This window comes from Homo sapiens, chromosome 4 (genome assembly GCF_000001405.40).
Source record: "Homo sapiens chromosome 4, GRCh38.p14 Primary Assembly".
Taxonomy (NCBI): domain Eukaryota; kingdom Metazoa; phylum Chordata; class Mammalia; order Primates; family Hominidae; genus Homo; species Homo sapiens.
Window position 1 is genome coordinate 38,133,562 of NC_000004.12, and position 21,882 is coordinate 38,155,443.

General features: G+C 44.2%; 1 protein-coding gene across 31 annotated transcripts in view, besides 1 other annotated feature; it reads left to right on the forward strand.

Annotated features, from left to right (window-relative positions):
• Positions 1-5,612, forward strand: part of TBC1D1 (TBC1 domain family member 1) — a 248,090-nt gene extending 242,478 nt beyond the window's left edge. For all 31 annotated transcript variants that reach the window (XM_011513659.3, XM_011513660.4, XM_011513662.4 and 28 more), the window contains one exon: positions 3,574-5,612. In XM_011513659.3, coding sequence (XP_011511961.1) covers positions 3,574-3,774 — 201 coding nt within the window. In that variant the 3' untranslated portion in view covers positions 3,775-5,612. The remainder of the gene's footprint in view (positions 1-3,573) is intronic.
• Positions 1,488-1,657: an enhancer, noted in NCBI's record as "experimental_79448 CRE fragment used in MPRA reporter constructs". NCBI's record gives its function as "activates a minimal promoter by MPRAs in K562 erythroleukemia cells, with activity observed for the introgressed 4:38136755 variant allele {active_cell/tissue: K562}" and the evidence as "EXISTENCE:reporter gene assay evidence [ECO:0000049][PMID:34662402]".
• Positions 5,613-21,882: the final 16,270 nt, after the last annotated feature.

Consider the following 21,882-nt stretch of genomic DNA (forward strand, 5'->3'; position numbering starts at 1 on the left):
ATGCCAGCCGTTGTCATTACTCAAAGAGAATCTAAGAGCTTTTAACTTCTATGAGCAAAACCAGCTAGGTCCACAGAGGGATGGTAAAGGAGGAAAGTAACACAGAAATAAATATAACAAACCAGAAGAGATGATAATTCTTTGTGAGTCCTTGGTGCATATACAAAGATTTGATTAATGAAGGTCTCAGTTCTCCCCTCTAGAAACTTCCATTTCAACACGGATATACTCAGGTGAGGACATACAGAAGAAAGACCAGTTGAGACTGTGCACGCAGGAGGGTGTGCAGAGCAAGCACTGAGGTGCAGCACGGAGACCAGAGCTGGCCAGGTCCAGCATCACCCCCACCCCCACATCACCCAGGCACACTGCCCAAAAGAACACCTAACTGCGGAGTGCAGCTCTTTTGTCAATCTGATGGCATGAAGCAACCATATGTTCTACTTTTTTCTACTTTTTTTAATGTCACAAGTGTGTAGCAGTGCTGTCCCTGTTAAGGAGTTGTTTTGAGGGTGTTTTTAAAAGTTGTTTTTGAGTGGCTGTGGATAAAAATACATATTTTTGCCGAAATTTTTATGGTGTTCCTGGGCTGTCCTGAGAATAAGTTCCATTCTGATCTAAGCCTCTGATTTTTCTTCATAGAAAGATGAGCTTTGCAGACACAAGCTTGGCAGCAAGGTGAGAAAGGCCAGCCTAGTGAGTCAAGCTATCTGAAATGCATTCCTCCCAGCGGGCATTCCATCCCAGCATACCCTATCAGATATGTGAAAGAGAGGAACCAAGACCGAATGCTATTCCTGCCCAGCCCTAATAACCACTCACATTCTGAAATTTAACTTCTTTTTTTCCCCTGAGATGTCCTAACTGAAAATATGCCTGTATACAATTTACCCTGGAAGTCTCAGCCATCACTCAAGGGAAGTCTCCAGAGGGTGAAGAGCCTGTCTGGCCTGTAGGGGTACACAGTGTAGGTGGTCATTTTAAATGGCTTCCAAGCCAATGATAGGTCCCTGAAATATAACATGGTGGAAACTTCTAATAAAGCTCACATTTGCATTGAAGTGTTTAGCTTGTTAAGATAGGCAGTTCTCAAATAAAAGGTTTGTTTTATTGGGTAAATGACCTTGTAGTTTTTTGGTGACAGAGCATAGAAAGTAATTTCATGCTGCTCCTGTGCTATTGTTTTTGTGAAGACAGGGAGCTGTGAAAAACTGCTTAGCTACCTACATTCCTCAATAAAGGCATCAGACAGTAATTGGTGATTACAGATGTTCTCCCTGGAATGGTCGTTCTCTTGACCAAGTAGTCCTACACTTCTGGAAGGATCATTCAGAACTGTGGTCTATGCCAACCCACCAGTAGTTCCTGAGTCCCTGCAGTGCTGAGTGCTGGGGGCCACCAAGTTGAGTAAGACACTGCAGCTCTCAAAGAGTTGGATCTAGGATTGTATTGTATCGATTTGTGGTGTTTGGATATAGTTTTTCCATGATCCCCTACGAAAATATGCCTCTCATATGTAAGAATCATGCCTCCTCCGTGTACACTTTTCAGACACTGACAAGGAAGGGTGTTCAATACAGTACTGAATTTTCATATAGCTTTTCTGGGGGGGCCAAAATACCAAAATCAACCCATTTCCTACCTTTATTCTGTCCATAAAATTGTTAGAAATATCAAAATCCCATTTCATTCCCTGTTAAATACATGTGAACGTTGTCTAGACGCTGGAGAGCAAATTCTACCACCTCTTTTGTTCAGCAGTACATCAGACGATTGCATAGACGTGCCAGATGGAACCAAATAATAATGCACATGGATTTGTCATAATCCGTACAAGTCATTGACGCCCACACTGAGCCAGGTGCTGTGGGAGACAGGACCATGTGTGAAAGAGAAGACATGCTTGCTTCTATAAAAGCATCGGTGTTATTGAGGAGACCTGACATTAATGCAGAATAGCAAATGACCATGCAAATTAATTCACTACTAACTAAGCTGCAGGTTGCACCTCGGAATGCAGAGGGGCTTCAAAGTGATGAGGGTAGGCCCTGAGCCAGGCCCTGACGATGGGTGGATTTTGAGGATCAGAGAGTACAGCTTAGAGAGATACCCCAAGTGGGACCACCCCTTGCCCAGTAGGCTGACAAACTAAGGCTCTTGGTCCCTTTTTCATATTTTGGGTGTTCTAGTGGCCCAGCCAGAGCTAGACTTCGAGTCATGAATTTTCTGGCACAAGTGTTGTCACATTCAAAAAAGTATTTTCTTTGTTTGAAAAATGAAAAATATATATATATGTGTGTGTGTATATATATGTGTGTGTGTGTGTATATATGTGTGTGTGTATATATACGTGTGTGTGTATATGTGTGTGTGTGTGTGTGTGTGTGTGTGTATATATGTGTATATATATACCATTTTTCCCACCTAAAATGGAGCATGGCAAATCTGGACTGGATTAGTGAGATAGACCAAGTCACAGAGCACTCCAGGATGCAGCTGTGAGCTGGGGAACAGGTCAGAAAGGCCTCAGGGACATCAGCATACATGTTGGAGTTTCTGCAGTTTTCTTAGGGAACCCTTTAATGTCACTAGAGCTAACACACTTGTCACCTGGGAAGCAAGCCTGCCAGAGCAAATTAGAGAGACGAGGGACAGTTGCTAGAAAGATACACCTGGAAGTTCTATTTAACTAGCATTAATTATGTGCTAGGTGCTGAGGATGTAGACTGAGTGAGATCCTCATTCCTCCTCTGTAGGGTGGAAGAGAGGATATTGCTTGTCTCCATGGCTCGTAGTGAACAGTCAGTGAGACCAGGCACATAAACCTCTTAGCAGAACACTTGGCCTTTCTAAGGACTCCATATGTGTTCCGGGGTAAATGCCTGTGTTTCTTGACGTAGTGATGTCTTGTTCCTCTAGACATCACTAACTTTACACAGTAGCTTTAGATGGCGTGGACGTGAATAAATGCAACTTAGGTTTTCTTGTTGGTTTCTTTTTGAGTATCATTGTGTTTGTAAAGAATTTCAGATTAGAGGATTGTTACCACGTGGGCCTTCAGGAGGAAACTGTTTTGAGTTTTTGTCAGCCCGAAATCGATTTGTGCGTTTAAGTATATGTGCTCATCAAAACAGGCCAGGCTCTGCTGCAGTAACAAACTTACAAGTCTCCGAGGCTTGGCACAACGGAAGTCTTTGTGTCACTGACGCCCACTTCAGCTTTGTGTTGCTGAAGCATTCTTTGGCCCTATCCAAGCTGTCCCTCTGGTGGTGGTGCCTGGGGGTTTGGGTTCCCTCTGTGTTGTGATCCACCATCTCAGCATCGGCTTCCACAGCAGCCATAGCAGGAGAAGAAAATGCTGGGGGCTCTCAGGGTGCTTTTAAGGGCCTGGCCACCGACCTGCAAGGGGTGCGAGTTGCCTTCCTGTGTGGCCAGAACTGATGATAAACTGTAGACTCATCCCTGCTGAAACTCGGCTCCAGAGTGCTCCCAAGGCTGGACAGCGTGTGGGCACTGGATCCCACCTGTGTTAGCACTGGCAATTGTATTCTCATTTCTTCTTTTATTCTCCAGGTGGCAAATGGTAGGATCCAAAGCCTTGAGGCCACCATTGAGAAGCTCCTGAGCAGTGAGAGCAAGCTGAAGCAGGCCATGCTTACCTTAGAACTGGAGCGGTCGGCCCTGCTGCAGACGGTGGAGGAGCTGCGGCGGCGGAGCGCAGAGCCCAGCGACCGGGAGCCTGAGTGCACGCAGCCCGAGCCCACGGGCGACTGACAGCTCTGCAGGAGAGATTGCAACACCATCCCACACTGTCCAGGCCTTAACTGAGAGGGACAGAAGACGCTGGAAGGAGAGAAGGAAGCGGGAAGTGTGCTTCTCAGGGAGGAAACCGGCTTGCCAGCAAGTAGATTCTTACGAACTCCAACTTGCAATTCAGGGGGCATGTCCCAGTGTTTTTTTTGTTGTTTTTAGATACTAAATCGTCCCTTCTCCAGTCCTGATTACTGTACACAGTAGCTTTAGATGGCGTGGACGTGAATAAATGCAACTTATGTTTTCTTGTTGGTTCCTTTTTGAGTGTCACTGTGTTTGTAAAGAGCATTCACAATACGGTGGAATTTCAAAAGCTGGAAGAGCTCGAGATCATGCCTCAGGCAAAGGCGTGGGTCCATCGTTCTTCCGAGAGGGTTTGTGTGGCGACTACACCCTCAGCGTCCCTGGCAAGGTGCAGTTGGCTCTCGCCCATTCTTGTTATGGAAACCTAAGATGATCATTGGGAAGATCAGTGATCTTGGGTCATTGATCCCTGGCTCAGAGGATAGCGGTTTCCATCATAAACCAAGATGATGAGTTCAGCCTTTATCCCTCGTGGTTCCACTAGATGTAACTTAAAGGAGTTAACATTTGAGGACTTTGTTCTACATCAGATTTTACTATTTGAATGTTTAAGATCACTTTATTGAATTTGAAGATCATCAAATTAAATAAAATGATTTATTTAATTTGGATATCCTGATCACTGTCAAGTGAAATGGATCTCTCTCTTTGGTATTTAAGGAAGTTTGTCTTTAAAAAAAAAATAGAGTGTTTTCATACATTTTTGCTTATCCCATAAGTACAGTTGATCAAAGTCATAGTAGGTAAATGCTTTATGGGACAGCTGACACCTTTTAGACCCTACCAGGTATTGCTAGCATGTGAGCTGCAGTTGTGGGGTCTGAGATATTTCTTTGTGGTAGTTTCATACCCATACTATAGAGTCATGTATTTATTTTTGCCTGTTGTGTGATGTAATGCAATCATGTTCCTTTGAGTCTCCATCCCTTGGAAATCTGACTTCTTGCAGAAGGAGTAGGCACATCAAGATATTCAGGGGTGCCCCAAGAGTCTGGGACTTTCAAAAAAAAAAGATCAGGCTGAAACTGCAGTCAGATTTATGACAGCTGACAGTTTTTCAGAGGTCGCACACAGTGACTCTCCTCTCTCAGGATGACGAGGACCTGTGCCTTCAACAAGCAAAATGCTGCTCACGGTTGTCCTGCTTGCAGCCAGTCACTGTGTAAAGCCTCTCTGATGTGCACTTAAGAGTGGGTTGCTTTCTCACAAAGATGGGGTTCTGTGCAGTCACAGGTCACTTCCTTGACAACACAATCATTTCTGATCTTTATCACTGTAACCACGTCTTCTATTCCATAGGAGTTTCTTTTGATTCTCTCAGTTGCGGGGGGCATCTCTTAATCCTGGGGTAAAAGGAGAGATTGCCATACTTAGACTCACTGTGAGTCTCCCCGGCCATTTCACGAGGAGACCACAGTGCTGCCACCAGTGCCTAAACAGGTGGCTGGCATTCGAGACTTCCTCCTGTTCCCTGGGTCAGAGGATAGCGGTTTCCATCATAAACCAAGATGATGAGTTCAGCCTTTATCCCTCGTGGTTCCGCTAGATGTAACTTATAGGAGTTAACATTTGAGGACTTTGTTCTGCATCAGATCTTACTATTTGAATGTTTACTGTTGGATTTTGGGCATCTTATTACTGTTACTCAAAAACATTGACTCTGCATCAAGAAAGAAACAAGAAAGCAATAAAACAAGAAATAATTCATGCTCACATTTTTATGGTGGTTTTTTTTTTTTTTTTAACTTTGGATTTTTGCTTTTCAGCCCAGGAGTAAAGGAATGCCTTATGAACACCTGTGGCCTACGTGTGGTCATGACCCAACCATCAGTGAGATTATTTGAGATATTGGTGTCTGCATCCAGTGTTGTTATCTGAGTGTTTATTACGTAAGTTGTAACACCTCTACACAGGGTGTGAGTTTAGCACTGATGAGACCAGCTCCATCATTGTATGTGGCAGTGAGTCCTGTTACGAGATTGGGTTGGGCAGAAAGGACTGTTGACATGAGCCTGTGGATGTAGGTTGGACAGTCTCAGCCTGTGACTGACTAGGCAAGGAGCGGAGAGGCAACTGTGTGAGGATTCTCAGAGCCAAATTTTTAAGCCATGTTTTGGGTTATATTTCCCCCAACACTCATTTGTGCACTTGGTGGTGTCAATCTTTAGATGCCATTTATGTCTCTTAAGACATTATGAGGCCTCAAGAAGTGTACTACTACCTGGAACAGGATGGGACTCTCTTCAGCTTGCACACTCGGTTCGGCTCCCTCTCAGGGGTGGCCTGTAGATAGAACAACAATGTCCATTTGGAGGTTTGTGTGTCTGGTTTGGTAAACAGGAGAAGAGTTGCTCCAAGTGCCATGGGATCCTGGATTTTGTTACAGAATTAGACCAAACTCAACTGTGTGAAGCGCTGGAGAAGTGAAGATTCAGAAGGTGTTTGAATCAGGCTAAGTCACCAGGTCGTCTTTCAGAAGCAAAGCACAAGGCCACTGCAGAAGTGGGCCTGGGCAGGTGACGTGGCGGGGGCTCTGTGACCACCTCTGTGGGTCTGCAGCCAGGTGTTTAGTGGTGTGCCTGGGGCCACCCTAGTCAGCACTCAGGAAGAAGAGCTGGAGGTGAAGCAGAAGGGAATGAGGACAAGCTGGAACTGGCCAGGCACCTTTGTGTCTGTCACGTTGCTACACCACATTGAACAATGGTGATCTCAGATAAAAATGGCACTTGTTTCACTTTGGCCCTCCAGATCTCATGCCAGCAGGTCTTAGAGCCAATTCTGAATTAGACCACCAGGGAAGGGGACTCTGGGAAACACAGTTCTGGGTTAACCACGTTAACATAGTATAAGCCGCCCTGTTTAGTTTTGGAACTTGCCTACTTTGAATGACAGCATGCATGTATGAGTCCTTTTATACAGGCCCTTCGTCTAAGTGTACAATTAGTGATCCGTAGAGTTCGGACTCAGATTGACATTGGCATCGAGAGTCACTGATGGTGCACCACTGGAGATGACAAACTTCAGGGACCACTTCTGGCTTCTGGGACTGCCTCCCAGCTTTCATCTGCCCTGCTCTGCCAGCTGTAGGAAGAGCTGACTCTGATTACTATTTAATTCTGCTAATTAAAATCCAGCAACTGTGGGAAAATAATTTACAAGCCACATTGTCTTAAATCTAAACTCTGCTTTAAGGGTTTGGCATGGCTCAAAATAATTCTAGACTGGGAAGACTGGAGGGAACTTACTTCTCTTCATACTAGAAAGTCACCTCCCACCTCATTTTGTACATGAAAATGCTTAGTGAGGTGTAGAGAGTTTCAGAATCACCTGATGGTTGGCTACAGGATCAGAGTAGATCCCTGGCCTTCTGGCTGCCTAATAGTGGGCACCACCCAGCTTTACTTCAGTGAGTTTTGGGAACCATTTCTGATGACATCAATTTACAAAGCAAAGAGATGTTTGCTTCATTTTCACAAAGCTAACCTGTATTCTAAAGAGCCCAAATCGATTTCTCTCCTGAAATGCCTCTAGCAGCTTTAATTGATAGGGAGTTAAAACTGGGAGGCTCTCCAGTGAGTGACCCCTGTGTATGGACCCAGAGGCAGAGAAATTCTATTGCAACAGGATTTGACATGATTAGATATAATGTTTGTTCTTGACAACTATTTCTTTTTTACCTTTGGACTTTTGAAAACTTGCATTGTAATGTTTTTAGAAGAAACAGATCAACACAGAATTCCCTTTGGTTTTATAAAAGAGAAATTCCATCATGTAAACTATTTTGCTGCCATCTCTAGAAATGATTAGAATGATTAGAGAAATTCAAGAGTTATATGGTATGGAGCAGCCACAACGGTTATTTGGACAATTTGAAATTGATAACAAAATATTTTAAAAGAATGTTCTTAGTATTTAGGCTTCATAGATATCTCTCTTAATATCTGTAAAAATAACCATACAACTGCCTTGGTTGTAAACCTTAGTAGTAAAGTGTTTAGATTTCTACCATGAGATGTATGTTTATTAATCAATTTTGTGCATGACTAAATTGTATTATAGAAGTTTTGAATGAGGTTAAAATACAATGTTTAAAAATATTAATGATAAAATTTCTATTCAGTATTTTTAAGAATAATGAGCACTTCATTACTGTAAATGCTTTAAAACTGTGATTAGTAATTCAGATGTCGGTTACAAGTTCAGCTTAGTTTTATGGTTGCTTTTAATGCACTGACTTCCAAAATTTAGTAACTCTAAATGGAAGAAGAACACAACTAGTCACATTAAGTCATAATTGCTCATTCTTCATTTTTCTTCATCAGTTATGCAAAGGTTTTTGTGGAAATCTGAGTAATGAATTTCCATCTTCTCTCATGGCCGATGACACAAATGTATTAAGGTTTTTATACTTTTTAACCAAAGACTTTAATACACCAAAACTCTTCATTTGGAAAGTTTTGAACAAATTATAAAAGCAGTTTCCAGGTTTGTTTGAGTAACACCCTCACATGATTTTTGGCCAAAACATGACCTAACCCATAGAAACACTTCCAAACCCTTTTCTGAAAAGCACTCTCTCTAGCACTTTCTCCATCATCTTTTCCTGGGCCCACCCCATTTGGAGCCTTTGCTCTGAATAATCGTGGTACGGACAGAGGTAGCAAGTTCTAGTCTGAGGCCTTTGGCCACACCGCTACCTGTTCACCTGCATGGTCCTGCTGTAGACAACCATCTCGCCCCCAGCCCTTCCCCGCAGTGCCACCGAAGACTTGTGGTTCTGAGCCTGCAAAGTGCTTGGCTGAGCAGAGCAGAGAGGAACTGAACAGTGTGTGTTAAGAATGGAGCCTGTGAATCACTCCTTGTGAATCACGGCACTTTATCACTGCCCTTTCCTTAGACCTACTGAAGACAGCCTGGACAACCTGGCATGGCCAAGGGGTGGGGGGACAGCTTTGTACATCCTTTTTCCCAGTCATTTGCTTGCTTTCCTCACTCTTCTGACTACATCTTCCTGCCCTTGTTTTTCTCTTATTCCATATTTGGATGGATGTTGACCAATTTGGGGTGTCTCCTTTCTGGTCTTCCAGAAATCTTTCTAAACCCTGTAACTATGTTTCTAATCTCTTCCAACTGTTGGAAGAGGTGACTGATTACTGTTAAACTCGGGCTTTGGCTCTCAGCACCCTGCAGGGTGACCTCCTGAGGTGCCATCGTGTGGAAACTGTGCAGATGGTGAAGTACCATGTTAGGGAGATAGAGGCAAGTTTGCATGTGGGTCTGTTTAATGATACCGAATGCCTATCTGTGCTTGGTACTCTTTACCAAGGAGGGCATGATCTATTTATTTTCTTTCTTTGAAATAAGTGAATATCAAATTTACTCCTAAATTTCATATGTTCAAATCATCTAAATGGGTTGGTTATTAGAAAGGATATTAGCTTTTTCACTCTGGATCTGTCTCTCTTCACTATAGCCCCACTGTCTTTGCACAGTGTGGTTTCACCTGCCTGCCTCTCCATATCCAGCTCGGCGAGCATGACGTCTCCCCTGCTTTCACTCTCCAGCCCTCAACTATGTACCAAGCCTTGTTCTAGGTCCTGAGATGACAAAGTAAGTATTTGCCATCGTTGCGCTTTTATTCTAGTGAGGGAGATAGGTAATTGGAATAAGTAAACGAAAAATCAATCATGAGGTGGGGGTGCCTACCTAGAATATTCAGAGAAGACTCAGCTGAGGAGCTGGTGTTCAAGTGAGACTGGGAAGGAACAGCTAACAGAGGAGTTGGGTGAGAGTGTTCTGGGTGACTTATTAGAAAGTGGAAGAGTCTCTTCCAAATGACAAATGATTCTATCCTAGCTTTGAGTCTTGTGCCAAGACCTTAAAAAAAACACACACCCACTGCTGTGGTCTGAATGTTGATGTTGCCCCATCCCCCCTCCATTCATGTGTTCAAATATAATATCCAATGTGATAGAATTAAGAGGCAAAGCATTTGGGAAATGATTAAGTCATGAGGGCTCTACGCTCATGAATGGGATCAGTGCACTTAGAAGCTGGAGATGTGAAGACACAGCAAGAAGGCGCCGTCCGTCTATGAGGAACAGTCCCTCACCAGACGCCACATCTGCTGGTGCCTTGATTTTGGACTTCCCAGCTTCTAGAACTGTTGTTTATAAATTATCCAGTCTGAGTAGCCCAAACAAACTAACCCACTTAGCACCCACTTAACACCATGTCTCTTTCAGATGGCAAGAAAACACCAATATTTTTAGAGATAAATGTTCCATTACTGTGTAGTCCAATAAGTATAAATAAGTTCTTGGCTTGATCCACTTACAGTTTTAATGGACACAAGGGAATCTGCTATTCTTAACTTAGCATTAAACTGCGAGGAGGAATGAGTTGGTGAAATGGACATTGTAGTGGGCACCTGGCAGGGGGTGACCTTGTTATCTCAGTTTATGATGATGTCCCCTACAGATCTGACAGCCAGTGGACACAGCCCTATCAACTTCCTGCTGTGATCATCTGCAAAGGGAACCTAGGCATCGGGAAGACATTCGTTAAAGTTCAGGAAAAAATTAGGTGTGATTTCATGGCATGACAGCCTAAAAGAGACTTTTGTGAAATTCTACAAAAGTAAATCCTGACTGTTCAAATTGCATTCCAGGGTACTGAGAAAATTTGAGCAAAAAAAAATTGCTCAACTGCTATTAGTATTTTTTTGGAATGAGTTGACAATGGTGGAAAGAGGCACTGGAAATGGGAAGACAGAGATCTTTGAAGAAATATAGAGCTAGCCAAACTTCCCACTTTATTTAATGAGGTAGGAAGTGGATGATGTAAGTTATGGTTCGTTGAGCCCAGTGAAAAGCTTGTCTGCATGGATCATGAGGATATTCTTGCAGTCCTCCCTTTAATTCTCAGTGCCTTCTCTAAGAAAGCCCCAGAACTGTTCAGGTATTTCTCCCAAATAATGTTTGTTTTTAATCCGATGTCAACTGTGTAATTGAACAGGTGACCCTATTTTAATTTGACATTTCCGGAACACTCAAAACCAAATTGGTGGCCCTCCCATTAGCAAATGTGCAGGCATTTGGTTCTGACTCATTTTGACCCTCTCCGATTCTACTTTATTCCAGTTATTTCATGCTTTCTTAAATCTTTAATATCCTTGTAAATCACTGTAAAACATTTGAGGAACAAGATGGAGCCAGGTAAATATAAATAGAAGCGACATCTCATGGCTAAAAGCGCAGGCCCTGGAGTCAGCTGGAATCCGACCCTGATTTCTTGTCTGTATAATGGAAATAACAGCTATTTCATAGGATTATTGTGCAAATATTTATGACAAGCACTGAGTACTGTGGTGGACACCAAATTAACAAGCAATAAATGTTATCATTACTTATGATGACGTGAACTAAATCAGTTATGTGAGCTTGAGATTGGACCCAGGCAAAATTCCTCAACAGTGCAAACATATAAGATAGGTGATTCCTTAAGATCATGTCATGCTAGCCCAATGTAATTTTATGTTTCTGAAAGCACAGTGACCAAATGGAAGATGGGAAGCTGTAGGAAAATATACCTTGATGTCAGCAAAGCTTTTGACATCTCTCACAATACCTTAAATAAAGTCTTATTAAAACTTAAATGAGTTAAAGTGACATGAGCAGTAGGAGAGTTCGATTGTGTTGATTTAATAAAACCAGAAAGACTTCTAGGTTGTGGTTCTCAGCCCTGGTTGCACAATAGAATCACCCAGAGAGATTTTTCAAAGTACCAGGGCCCAAGGGTGCTCCAGGCTAACACACTCATGCACTCTGGGGTAGGGCCTGGGCGGTTTTTAGTTTTTAAGCTCCCCAGTGAATTTAAAGTTTAGCTAGGATTGAAAAATGCTGTGATGGATAATGGATTGTGGTGAGCCTAAAAAGGAGGAGTCTCACTGAGGGTTTTTCCTTAGCCAGCCGGTGCACATGTGTGTCATGTGATCTGTATGAGGCCCTAGGGACCATGCTCTTGGATGCACGGATGCCACTGACTAAATGCAATGAATGACAGACAGGACCTTGATTGATGTTGACAAGCTGGCCAGATGACCTGATTCAAGCAAGATGCACTTTTGAATGTCAGGTTCTAAATGTGTGTATAGGGCAGTGGGTCTCAGGGTATAGGCCCTAGACCAATAGCCTCAGCATCTTCTGAAACTTGTTAGAATTGTATTAATGGGATCTACCAACCTACTAATTCAAAAATTCTGGAGGGTGGGGTCAGCAATCTTTTTTCACAAGCCTTCCATGGGATTCTGATGTGTGCTAAAGTTTAAGAACCACTCACATAGAAGGGGGAATCCCACTGGACAAGTACAGAATCAGAGACATCTCATTAGCAACAGCAGTGACTGAAGACAGAGTCTGTTTATTCTTGATCTATAGTTCTGTTTTATTCTCGCTTTCCCATTGCGATGAAGACCTCATACTTGGCAGATCACGTCACTTGCTTATCTCTGTGTTCTACAGTCATTGTATAAAACTGTTTACTGAAAATCTGAGTAATTCCAGAGACTGTTACATAGTGAGAAATGTTGAGTTTAGAGCATAATGACACAGAAATAGCTGAGAAGAACAGCAGTTGCCATATGCCAGGCACCATTATGAGCCCCTTAGACGAATATTAACTCATTGAATGAGGAAAGACATGGTCATGGTTATTGGTTGGGTAGCAAGTGTTGACAAGTGGGCTCATTTAACTTCCAATGCTTTTGATAGGTCACTAGGAGTTCTGTGTGTCTGAGAATCTTTTTGATAATTAGTAAAATATTAACTAGTAAATACTAAAAATGAATGATCCCTTGCTTGCTCTGCCCTCTCAGTATCCACCCACCCCCAAAAAGGCAGGTGAGAGGAGGAAGAAAAATCTGCCTCCACACATTGAGGGAACAAGAGAAGGTAAAGAAGTTGGGAGAGACTATGCCAGGAGAGCTCACCCAGTTCCAGGGCATGGGACAGGTACGCAACCATCTAAGGACACACGTGGGAAACAAGGTGCCCAGGGTGGTAGAGCACAGATACTTCCCCCTCCTCCAGCTCCTGGGGAAGTTGCAGGTCATTCATTTACAAAGGGAGGCATAAACCAGAGAGAAGAAGACAACTTGTGGGGCTTAAGAATGAGTTGCTTGGGGACCAGTCAAAAGTTGTCTGAAAGAGCTGTCATGACTTAAGGCACCTTGGGAGGAGCAGTCTGGCTACCTCAAAATGCCTAGCCTAGATTTTTCTGTGGCTGTGGCCAGCCTTAGCCCTCCCTGTTTCCTAGACTGGGGAGGTTCTGAGGCACACCATTTCAAGGATTTTGCTCCTCTGAGAGATTAAAAATATGTTAGCATGTGTTAAGGATGCCAGAAAATCCTACAGTAAAAAAAAAAAAAACCAACAACCAACAACCTAGTTTCCACCTTTTCAGTATGTGGTCTTTCTAAAAGATATCTTTCCTTGATATGTTGCATGTGCTAAAGACTTGCACACACAACAGAAACATACAAAACAAAGTTTTCCAAAGTCCCCTCAACCTATATCCTACTTCCCAAAAGTAATCACTTAGCAGTTTCTTATCTCTTCCTCCAAAAATTGATATGCATACTACAGGATGAATTGATATGCATACTACAGAATGTATGTATGTGTGTGTGTTTATACAGATATTCTTTTTTTTTCACATAAATGATAACACTATACACACTAATCAGTTACCTTGCTCTTTAAAAATATCTTGGGAATATTTTCATATCAGTACATGTAGATAATGATAGAAATAATAGTTCACACTCATAAAGAGATAACTAATGAATGAGCCAAGTACTGATGAGTACTGTGTAAGTTTGTTTCATTTAATCTCAAAACTATAGGAGAGGTACCATTATTATCCTAATTTATAGTTGGGGAAGCTATCTAAAGAGGTCATGCCTACTGCCCAAGGCCACCAAGCCCAGCAGTTCAGACTCAAGAGCCCATGCTCTTGACCACTGCCACTGCAGTATACAAATCCACTCCAGTCTTTTTTTTTCTTTTATCTTTTTTTTTTTTTTTTTTTTTTGAGATGGAGTCTCACTCTGTCACCAGGCTGGAGTGCAGTGGCATGATCTTGGCTCCCTCCACCTTCCCAGCTTCAAGCAATTCTCCTGCCTCAGCCTCCAGAGTAGCAGGGACTACACGCCCAGCTAATTTTTGTATTTTTAGTAGAGACAGGGTCTCACCACATTGGACAAGATGGTCTCGATCTCTTGACCTCATGATCTGCTTGCCTTGACCTCCCAAAGTGCTGGGATTACAGACATGAGCCACTGCGCCCGGCCCACTTCACTCTTCAACACCTGAACATAATATTTCTGTGCTTGGATGCACCACAACGTATTGAACCAGGTTCACACTGATGGACATTTGAGTTTATCTGCCTTGAGCATATCTGCACATAATACCTTTGTGAATCTGTAAATGTATCTGAAAGATAAATTCAGTGAATCACAGCAGCAAAGAGCACAAACTGAAGTCCTGATCCCCATCCCCTCAGATCAACCCTGTCCCCCACAGATCTCCGTGTTGGTCAATGGCACTGTCATTCACTCAGTTGCTTAGTTGACCCCTTTCTTTTTCTCATATCCTACATCCAGTCCATCAAACACATCCTTTCTACATCCCCTCAGTCTGTTCTTCACACAGCATCCAAAGTGGACCTTTCAAAACAAATCATGTCACTACCCTGCTTTAACCAAACTCTAGTGGTTTCCCATCACATTAAAACAAAGTGTTAAGTACTTATGAGGCCCTGAAAGGCTGGCAGTTGTTGGGATGCAATTTAAGCTTCTGCACAGCCACTCAAAATAGAGTTGCTCAAACAAAATAGCAACTTCTCAAACCTTTATAGCAGTCCAGAGGGCAGGTGGGCCATTTGGGATGGAGAGTGTTTCTGTTCTACAAGGCCAACTGAAGACCCAGGTTCCTTCTGTCTTCTTACTCCTCCAACATCCAGGGCAGTAGTTCTCAACTAGGGGTAATTTTGTTCCCTGGGGTACATTTGACAATGTCTGGAGACATTTTTGGTTTTAACAACTGGGGAATGAAGAAGGGTGTGTGTTAGTGTCATCTAGTGGGTAGAGGCCAGAGATGGCTGCTAAACATCCTACAATACTTTGAACAGCCTCCGCAACAAGTTATCATGGGTCCAAAATGTCAGTATTGCTGATGTTGAGCAACCCTGTTCTTGGGCAGTGGTTTTGAAGCTTGAGTCCCCTGGAGGGTTTCTTAAAATACAGATGGCTGGGCCCCACCCCCAAGGTTTCTGATTCAGTAGTTCTGGAGGGGGGCCTGAAAATTTGCATTTTGGTAAGTTTCCCGATGATGCTGAGGATGCAGGTCCAAGGACCACACTTTCTTTAAGAAACTCTGCCCTGGAGACTTTGCCTTGTCCACAGGGAAGAAATAGGCTTACCAGCACCAGGTCTTTGCTCTGCCTGTGAGAAAGGATAAAAGAGAGGGGAACATTGCCCATTTATTGCCCGTTGCCCATTTTATAAATACAGAACCAAGAAGTAGCAGAAACCATTTCCATCCATGGTCCATTAGCATGAACTCACTGATGTAGCCACACCAAGTGGCACAAGAGCCTGGGAGATAGGGTCTCAATGTGAGCCCCACAAAGATGGGGGATTTTGGCTGGGCATGGTTGCTCATGCCTGTAATCGCAGCACTTTGGGAGGGTGAGGCGGGTGGATCACCTGAGGTCAGGAGTTCGAGACCAGCCTGGCCAACATGGTGAAACCCTGTCTCTACTAAAAATACAAAAATTAGCCGGGCATGGTGGTGGGCGCCTGTGGTCCCAGCTACTCGGGAGGGTGAGGCAGGAGAATCACTTGAATCTGGGAGGCGGAGGTTGCAGTGAGCCGAGATCGCGCCACTGCACTCGATTGCCAGCCTGGGCAACAGAGCGAGACTCCGTCTCAGGAAAAAAAAAAAAAAAGATGGGGGGATTTTATTACAAAGGGAAGAAGGGAATGTGGATATTAGAGACAGTTCACAGTCTCTGCTGAAAGGCTCTGCCAAGATCTGCCCCCACCCCTCCTTGCTCTCAGACCTTGCTTCCTACCTCTCCTCCTCACTTACTGCAACTCTCTGGCCTCTGCTCTGCTGACAACCCCCATGCTCCCTCTCAGGGCATCTGCACTCATTGCTCCATCTGCTTTGGAAGCTCCTGTCCTGGTCAGACATTTGGTTTGTTTCCTCACTTCACTGTGGTCTCACCTTGTCTAATAGGCAGCCCCTGCCCCCTCTGCCCTGTACTCTCTATCCAGCCCTGTCCATGCTAATTACTGCTCTCTGACAGTATAGTCCATGTTTGGTTGCTTATCTGTCTGTCCCTGCCACAGGAAAGTAAGATTTGTGAGGAAAGGGTCTTACTTCCTCACTGTTGTTATATCTTGGGCAGCACTTGGACATAAGAGGCAATCAGATATTCAGTAAACAAATGAAAGTGCATCTTTCATTTTTGACAGACGCTGCCAGATTGGTGTTTAGAATGTAAATCCATGAGCCTGCTCAACCCTCATTAATATGGAATATTTTCTTTGAGCTTCTTGTGCCCAGTGTGGTTGCAAATAGGCCTTGCGGGCCTGGAACATTCATCACTCGCCTCTGCCTCGCTGGGGTGGCCTCATCTCCCCAGGTTCCTTGAAGCTGCACTTCCCAGCTGGGATGTGAGCCAGAGGAAACAAGGGGGTCTGGCTGCAAATCCTTCTAAGGAGGGGACCCCACCTCTCAGAGGAGTGTGTGATGGTCACACCCATTTAACGTGATAGCCCAATCAAGGGAGAGGCCATAGATTCATCTGATTTAGCCCCCCAGAAAAAAATCATATCCTTATCTAAACTATCTTGACTTACAAGATTCTTAATGGCTCAAAAGTGCTTTATCAGCTCAAGCTGATCTAAGAAAATAAACATTTCATAATTGTGATAATACAAGTGGCTCCAGACGAAAGAACAGCTCAATCCTGATGGATGGTTCTTATAAATAAACCAGGCAATCACACACTGCAGAAATAACTAGAATTTCTATGACTTCACGGGGAGCCAAATGGAAATGCCCTTGCCAAGTGAATGCTAAAGTCATCCCATAGTCAAAATGTGGTCAGGCGCTAAGTGTGAGCCAAAACATTTTGCTGCAGCTACAGCCATTCCTCAAGTGGAACCCAGTTAACTTGGGTCCTCAAATTGAATTTTTATGCTTTGATTTTTAGGGAAAGGGAATACACTATAACAAAATATTGCACATAGAAAGGGTCTGATTAAAACCAAAGAGAAACAAGATACCAGCGACCAGCAGCAGGCTGGAAATCGGGTTTGACTCAGTGGCTTACGTGTTGCATGTCTACAGACTACATCATCTGGACTTACAGCGCCCTGCAGCCCAGCAGTGTCCTGGATGATTAAAAGCAGGCCCAGGCATTGATTCATGAGACAGAGATTTTCAGCATCACTGGTGAAAATAAAAATAGTTTCCTTTTAGCCAGAAAAGGTCAGCTATCAGAAGAACCTCATTTCCTTAGCATTTTAATTTTTGAGATTTTATGGTGATAAGAAGAAACAAATTATTTTTCAACGCAGTGCATTCTAACAATTTCTCTGGAAAATTGTATCTTCTGAGGCCAGGCATCCATGTGGTCTTTTTTTGGTGGACATAATAGTAGCCAAGACAAAACCAGGGAGGCCCAGCTTTGCCTGCTGGCTCAATTCTGAGACAACTGGTACCTCCCTGAGAACAGGGCTTCACTCAAGACAGGTTGGCCAGAAGATGTTATTTGGTTCAGCCTATCTCCATACCTTCCCCTGGAGCAAATGTCATGATTTCTCATATTGCCCAGTCTCTAAATCCTCTTGGTAACTAGCTTGGTGGTTGTATTATTCCTTTTTCACACTGCTATAAAGATACTACCTGAGACTGGGTAATTTATAAAGGAAAGAGGTTTTATTGACTCACAGTTCTGCATGACTGGGGATGCCTCAGGAAACTTACAATCATGGCAGAAGGTGAAGGAGAAGCAAAGGCACGTCTTACATGGTGGCAGGTGAGAGAGAAAGTATGAGCAAGAGCAGGGAAAACTGCCTTATAAAACAATCAGGTCTCCAGAGAACTCACTCACTACCACAAGAACAGCATCGGGGGAAAAGCCCCCATGATTCAATCACTTCCCCTCAGGTCTCTCCCTAGACATGGGGATTATGGGGATTACAGTTCAAGATGAGATTTGGGTGGGGACACAGCCAGATCGTATCAGTGGTCTGTGCATTATGGGCAGTCAACATGGAGGAGTGAACACCTGGGAAAGGTAGCCAATTCCAGGCTTGGGAAGGCTCCAAAGCTGTTCCAGAAATGGAACCAGCCACCCCGGCAGGGTGGGGACATGCAAGAAACCATAGGACACCTCCTTGGCTTCAGGACTGGTAGGCACCAGCCACAAAGTCACATCTTGGCCCTTTCCAAGGTTTTCCAGAAAGTTCTAGCATTCTATGCACAAGGCAGGAATCATAATCCTGTGGTTTAGTGGGGCTGAGTGCGGCTGCTACCACAAACACTTCATTAGTCAGAAAGTGCCTCCGTAGGATCACCGGTAGGATCAGAAATGAACTCAAAGCACCAAAAGAAAATATTTTTCGTGTAATATATTTGGAAACTATTTCTCATATGCAGAGGTCCACAAAGCATTCAAAGGCCACAAACCCGAAAATACTACAGACACTTTGGAAGCCTAGGAAGATTTCCCAGTTCCTGAGGCTGCATGACAAGGCTGCCAGTGTTCCTACAGCTGGTGGCCCCAAGAGTCTCCCCTTTTATTATTATTTTTTTCTGTTTCTTACCCCATCAGACCCCTTTCCCTGGGAGGCTCCTTTCAAAAGCTTCACTACATCTGTGAGAGCTTGGAGGGAAGTGAAGAAATCAACCTCCTCTGACAGAGAGGTTTGAAAGCAGAGCTGTTCAGTGTTCCAGTGTCCTGCTGTTCTTTGCAGGCAAATGCTTCTTGTGTTTTATTCACAGTAGCCATAATACATTCCACCCCAAGACTAACATGCAAACATGAAGGGACTGCCTAGAAGACCAGAGAGAAGTGCCGTGGTTTGAGCCTAGATCCCACTTGTGTTAGTCTGTTCTTGCATTGCTATAACAAAATACCTGAAACTAGATAATTTATCAACTAAGGAGGTTTAATTGGCTCACAGTTCTGCAGGCTGTACAAACATGGAGCTGACATCAGCACAGCTTCTGGTAAGGCTTCAGAGAGCTTTTACTTGTGGAGGAAAGCAAAGCAGGAGCAGGCACATCACAAGGCAAGAGAGAGAAGAGGGAGGTCACGGGTTCTTTTAAACAACCAGATCTAGTGTGAACTAACTGAGCAAGAACTCTCATCACCAACGGGATGACACTAAGCCATTCATGAGGGATCTGCTCCCGTGATCCAATACCTCCCATGAGACCCCCCCATCAACATTGGAGGTCACATTTCAGTGAAAGATTTAGAGAGGACAAACATCTAAACCGTAGCACCACTTTTCCTAGCTTCAACCTCAGATTGCAGTTTCTCCTCCCAGGCTTCTCAGACTGGCCTGCATATGGAATACTGTTCCCACTACCTCCTTAACGACTACCCAGGTCTGAACCACAGAGCAGCAAGTGTTAAAAGACACAAGCTCAAGTAAATGCTCTAGGATTGTGCCGTCTAATGTGGTAGCCACTGACCACGGGAGTGACTGAGCTCTGGCAGTGTAGCTAATCCAAATTGAGATGCCCTGTAAGTATAAAATACACACCAGATTTTGAATACTTTGTATAAAAAAGAATGTAAAATATGTTATTAATGCTTATATTGGTTACACTTATTTTTGATACATTGTGTTGAATAGAATATAGCATGTCTTAGTCCACTTTCTGTTGCTGTAACAGAATACCACACACTGGGTCATTTATAAAGAAAATAAGTGTATTTGGCTCATGGCCTGGAGGCTGGGAAGTCCAATGGCACGGTGACACCTTCTAGTGAGGGCTTTTGTACTGTGTCATGGTAGAGGGTGTCACATAGCAAGACTGCAAGAGCATGCCTGTCAGCTTCCTCTTCCTATAAAGCTGCTACTGTCATCAGTGGGGGTCCCCACCCTCATGACCTTATCCAATCCTAATTACCTCCCAAAAGACCCACCTTGAAATAACATACGAATTTGGCACTTAGTTTCTCACACATAAAGTTTGGGGGACACATTTAAACCATAGCATAGTATTAAACTTAATTTCACCTTCTTTGTTTTTACTTTTTTTTTGAGACGGAATCTCACTCTGTTGCCAGGCTGGAGTGCGGTGGCGCCATCTTGGTTCACTGCAACCTCCGCCTCCCGGGTTCAAGCGATTCTCCTGCCTCAGCCTTCCGAGTAGCTGGGATTACAGGCATGCGCCACTGCACCCAGCTAATTTCTGTATTTTTAGTAGAGACAGAGTTTCACTATGTTGGCCAGTATTTTCTCCATCTCCTGACCTCGTGATCTGCCCACCTCAGCTTCCCAAAGTGCTGGGATTACAGGCGTGAGCCATCGCACCCAGCCTGTTTTTACTTTTATTCCTGTGGCTACCACAAAACTTAAAATGATATGTGTGCTTCACACTTTATTTCTATTGGATGGCATTGCTTTAGAAGTGCTGGGAGAAACACCCATGTAGTCTAAGGGTCAGGAGAATTCCTGGAGAGGGGACATTGGGGCTGTGCTGAGACAGGAGGGGGCATTTCATCAGGGGATGAGAGGAGGGCTTTAGGGCTTTTGTGTGGGGAGAAACTACCTCAACTTGCTAGCAGACCAGCTCAGCTGGCGGGGGGGCAGGAGGTGAGTCGGGTTTTATCAGGTTCATATTTCAAATGACTTGCTAGCTCAAGCCAGCTTTTCATTCTGCCATAGCACATCAGGGGCAGGAAATGGAAAGTCGAGATGCAATGTGTCTCCAAGCCCCTTCGGCCCTTCAGGAGGAAGGGAACTGTTTGTCCTGCAAGTCATTGGTACAGACAGTAGCCTACGTAGAGACAGGTTTGCATTTCAGCACAAGGTCCTATAGTAACAGCTGCCATTTCAATGCTGCAGAAATATCTTAAGCACTCACTGTCTCTTCAATGTTCTCAAAAATTCCATCCGGCTACTTTGATTACAGCCTGCATCTCACAAATAAGGAAATAAAGTCTCTGAGGGGTTACTGACAGCCATAAAGCCACATCAGATAAAAGAGGAAGTCAGGATTTGCCCTCCACACCCCTGCTTCTGCACTCAAGACCAGCATGGGCCACCTTGTGCCAACTTCTACTTGGCCCCAGGGCCCCCACCCCAGCTGCCTGCCCCAGACAACCCCACATCTGGCTGCTGGTCGTTCTGCTCTGACTTGTACTGCCTGGCGAGTGCTCCTGGACTCTGCTGGCTGCTCCTAAGCCAACAGGTACAGCCTGAGTCCAGGCCCAGCACCCAGCCCTTTGCCATGGTCCGTGGAATAGAAGGGAAGCGTTCAGAAGCTGCTCCCGGAGCTCTCTGCTGGCTGGGGAAGCTGACCTGGGTGAAAGGGCCAGCTGCCCCATTTCCCCGTGGCTCTGCATCCTCCCATCCCGCTGCAGTGCCCCCGGGTCCCCTAGGGGTCTGTATCTGCTCCAGGGAGATCTGGGCTTGTTGGGCTTTGCCTTTTGTCCAGTCCTCCGTTTCACCCCGCAGGTTCCATCTGGCATTTAGATATTAGAAATAGCTGCAAGTGAGGGTGTGACTTGGGTGGAGACCTGGAGCCTGTACTCCACCCTGAAAAGGAAAAAAAAAAAAAGCTTATTTAATTCATTTCTGTACTTGGAAGCCTCTAGCTATTTAGAATGCCAATTAGGCAGAGGCTGTTGGATTTGTTTTTTTTTTTTCTTTCCCTATCCCAAGAC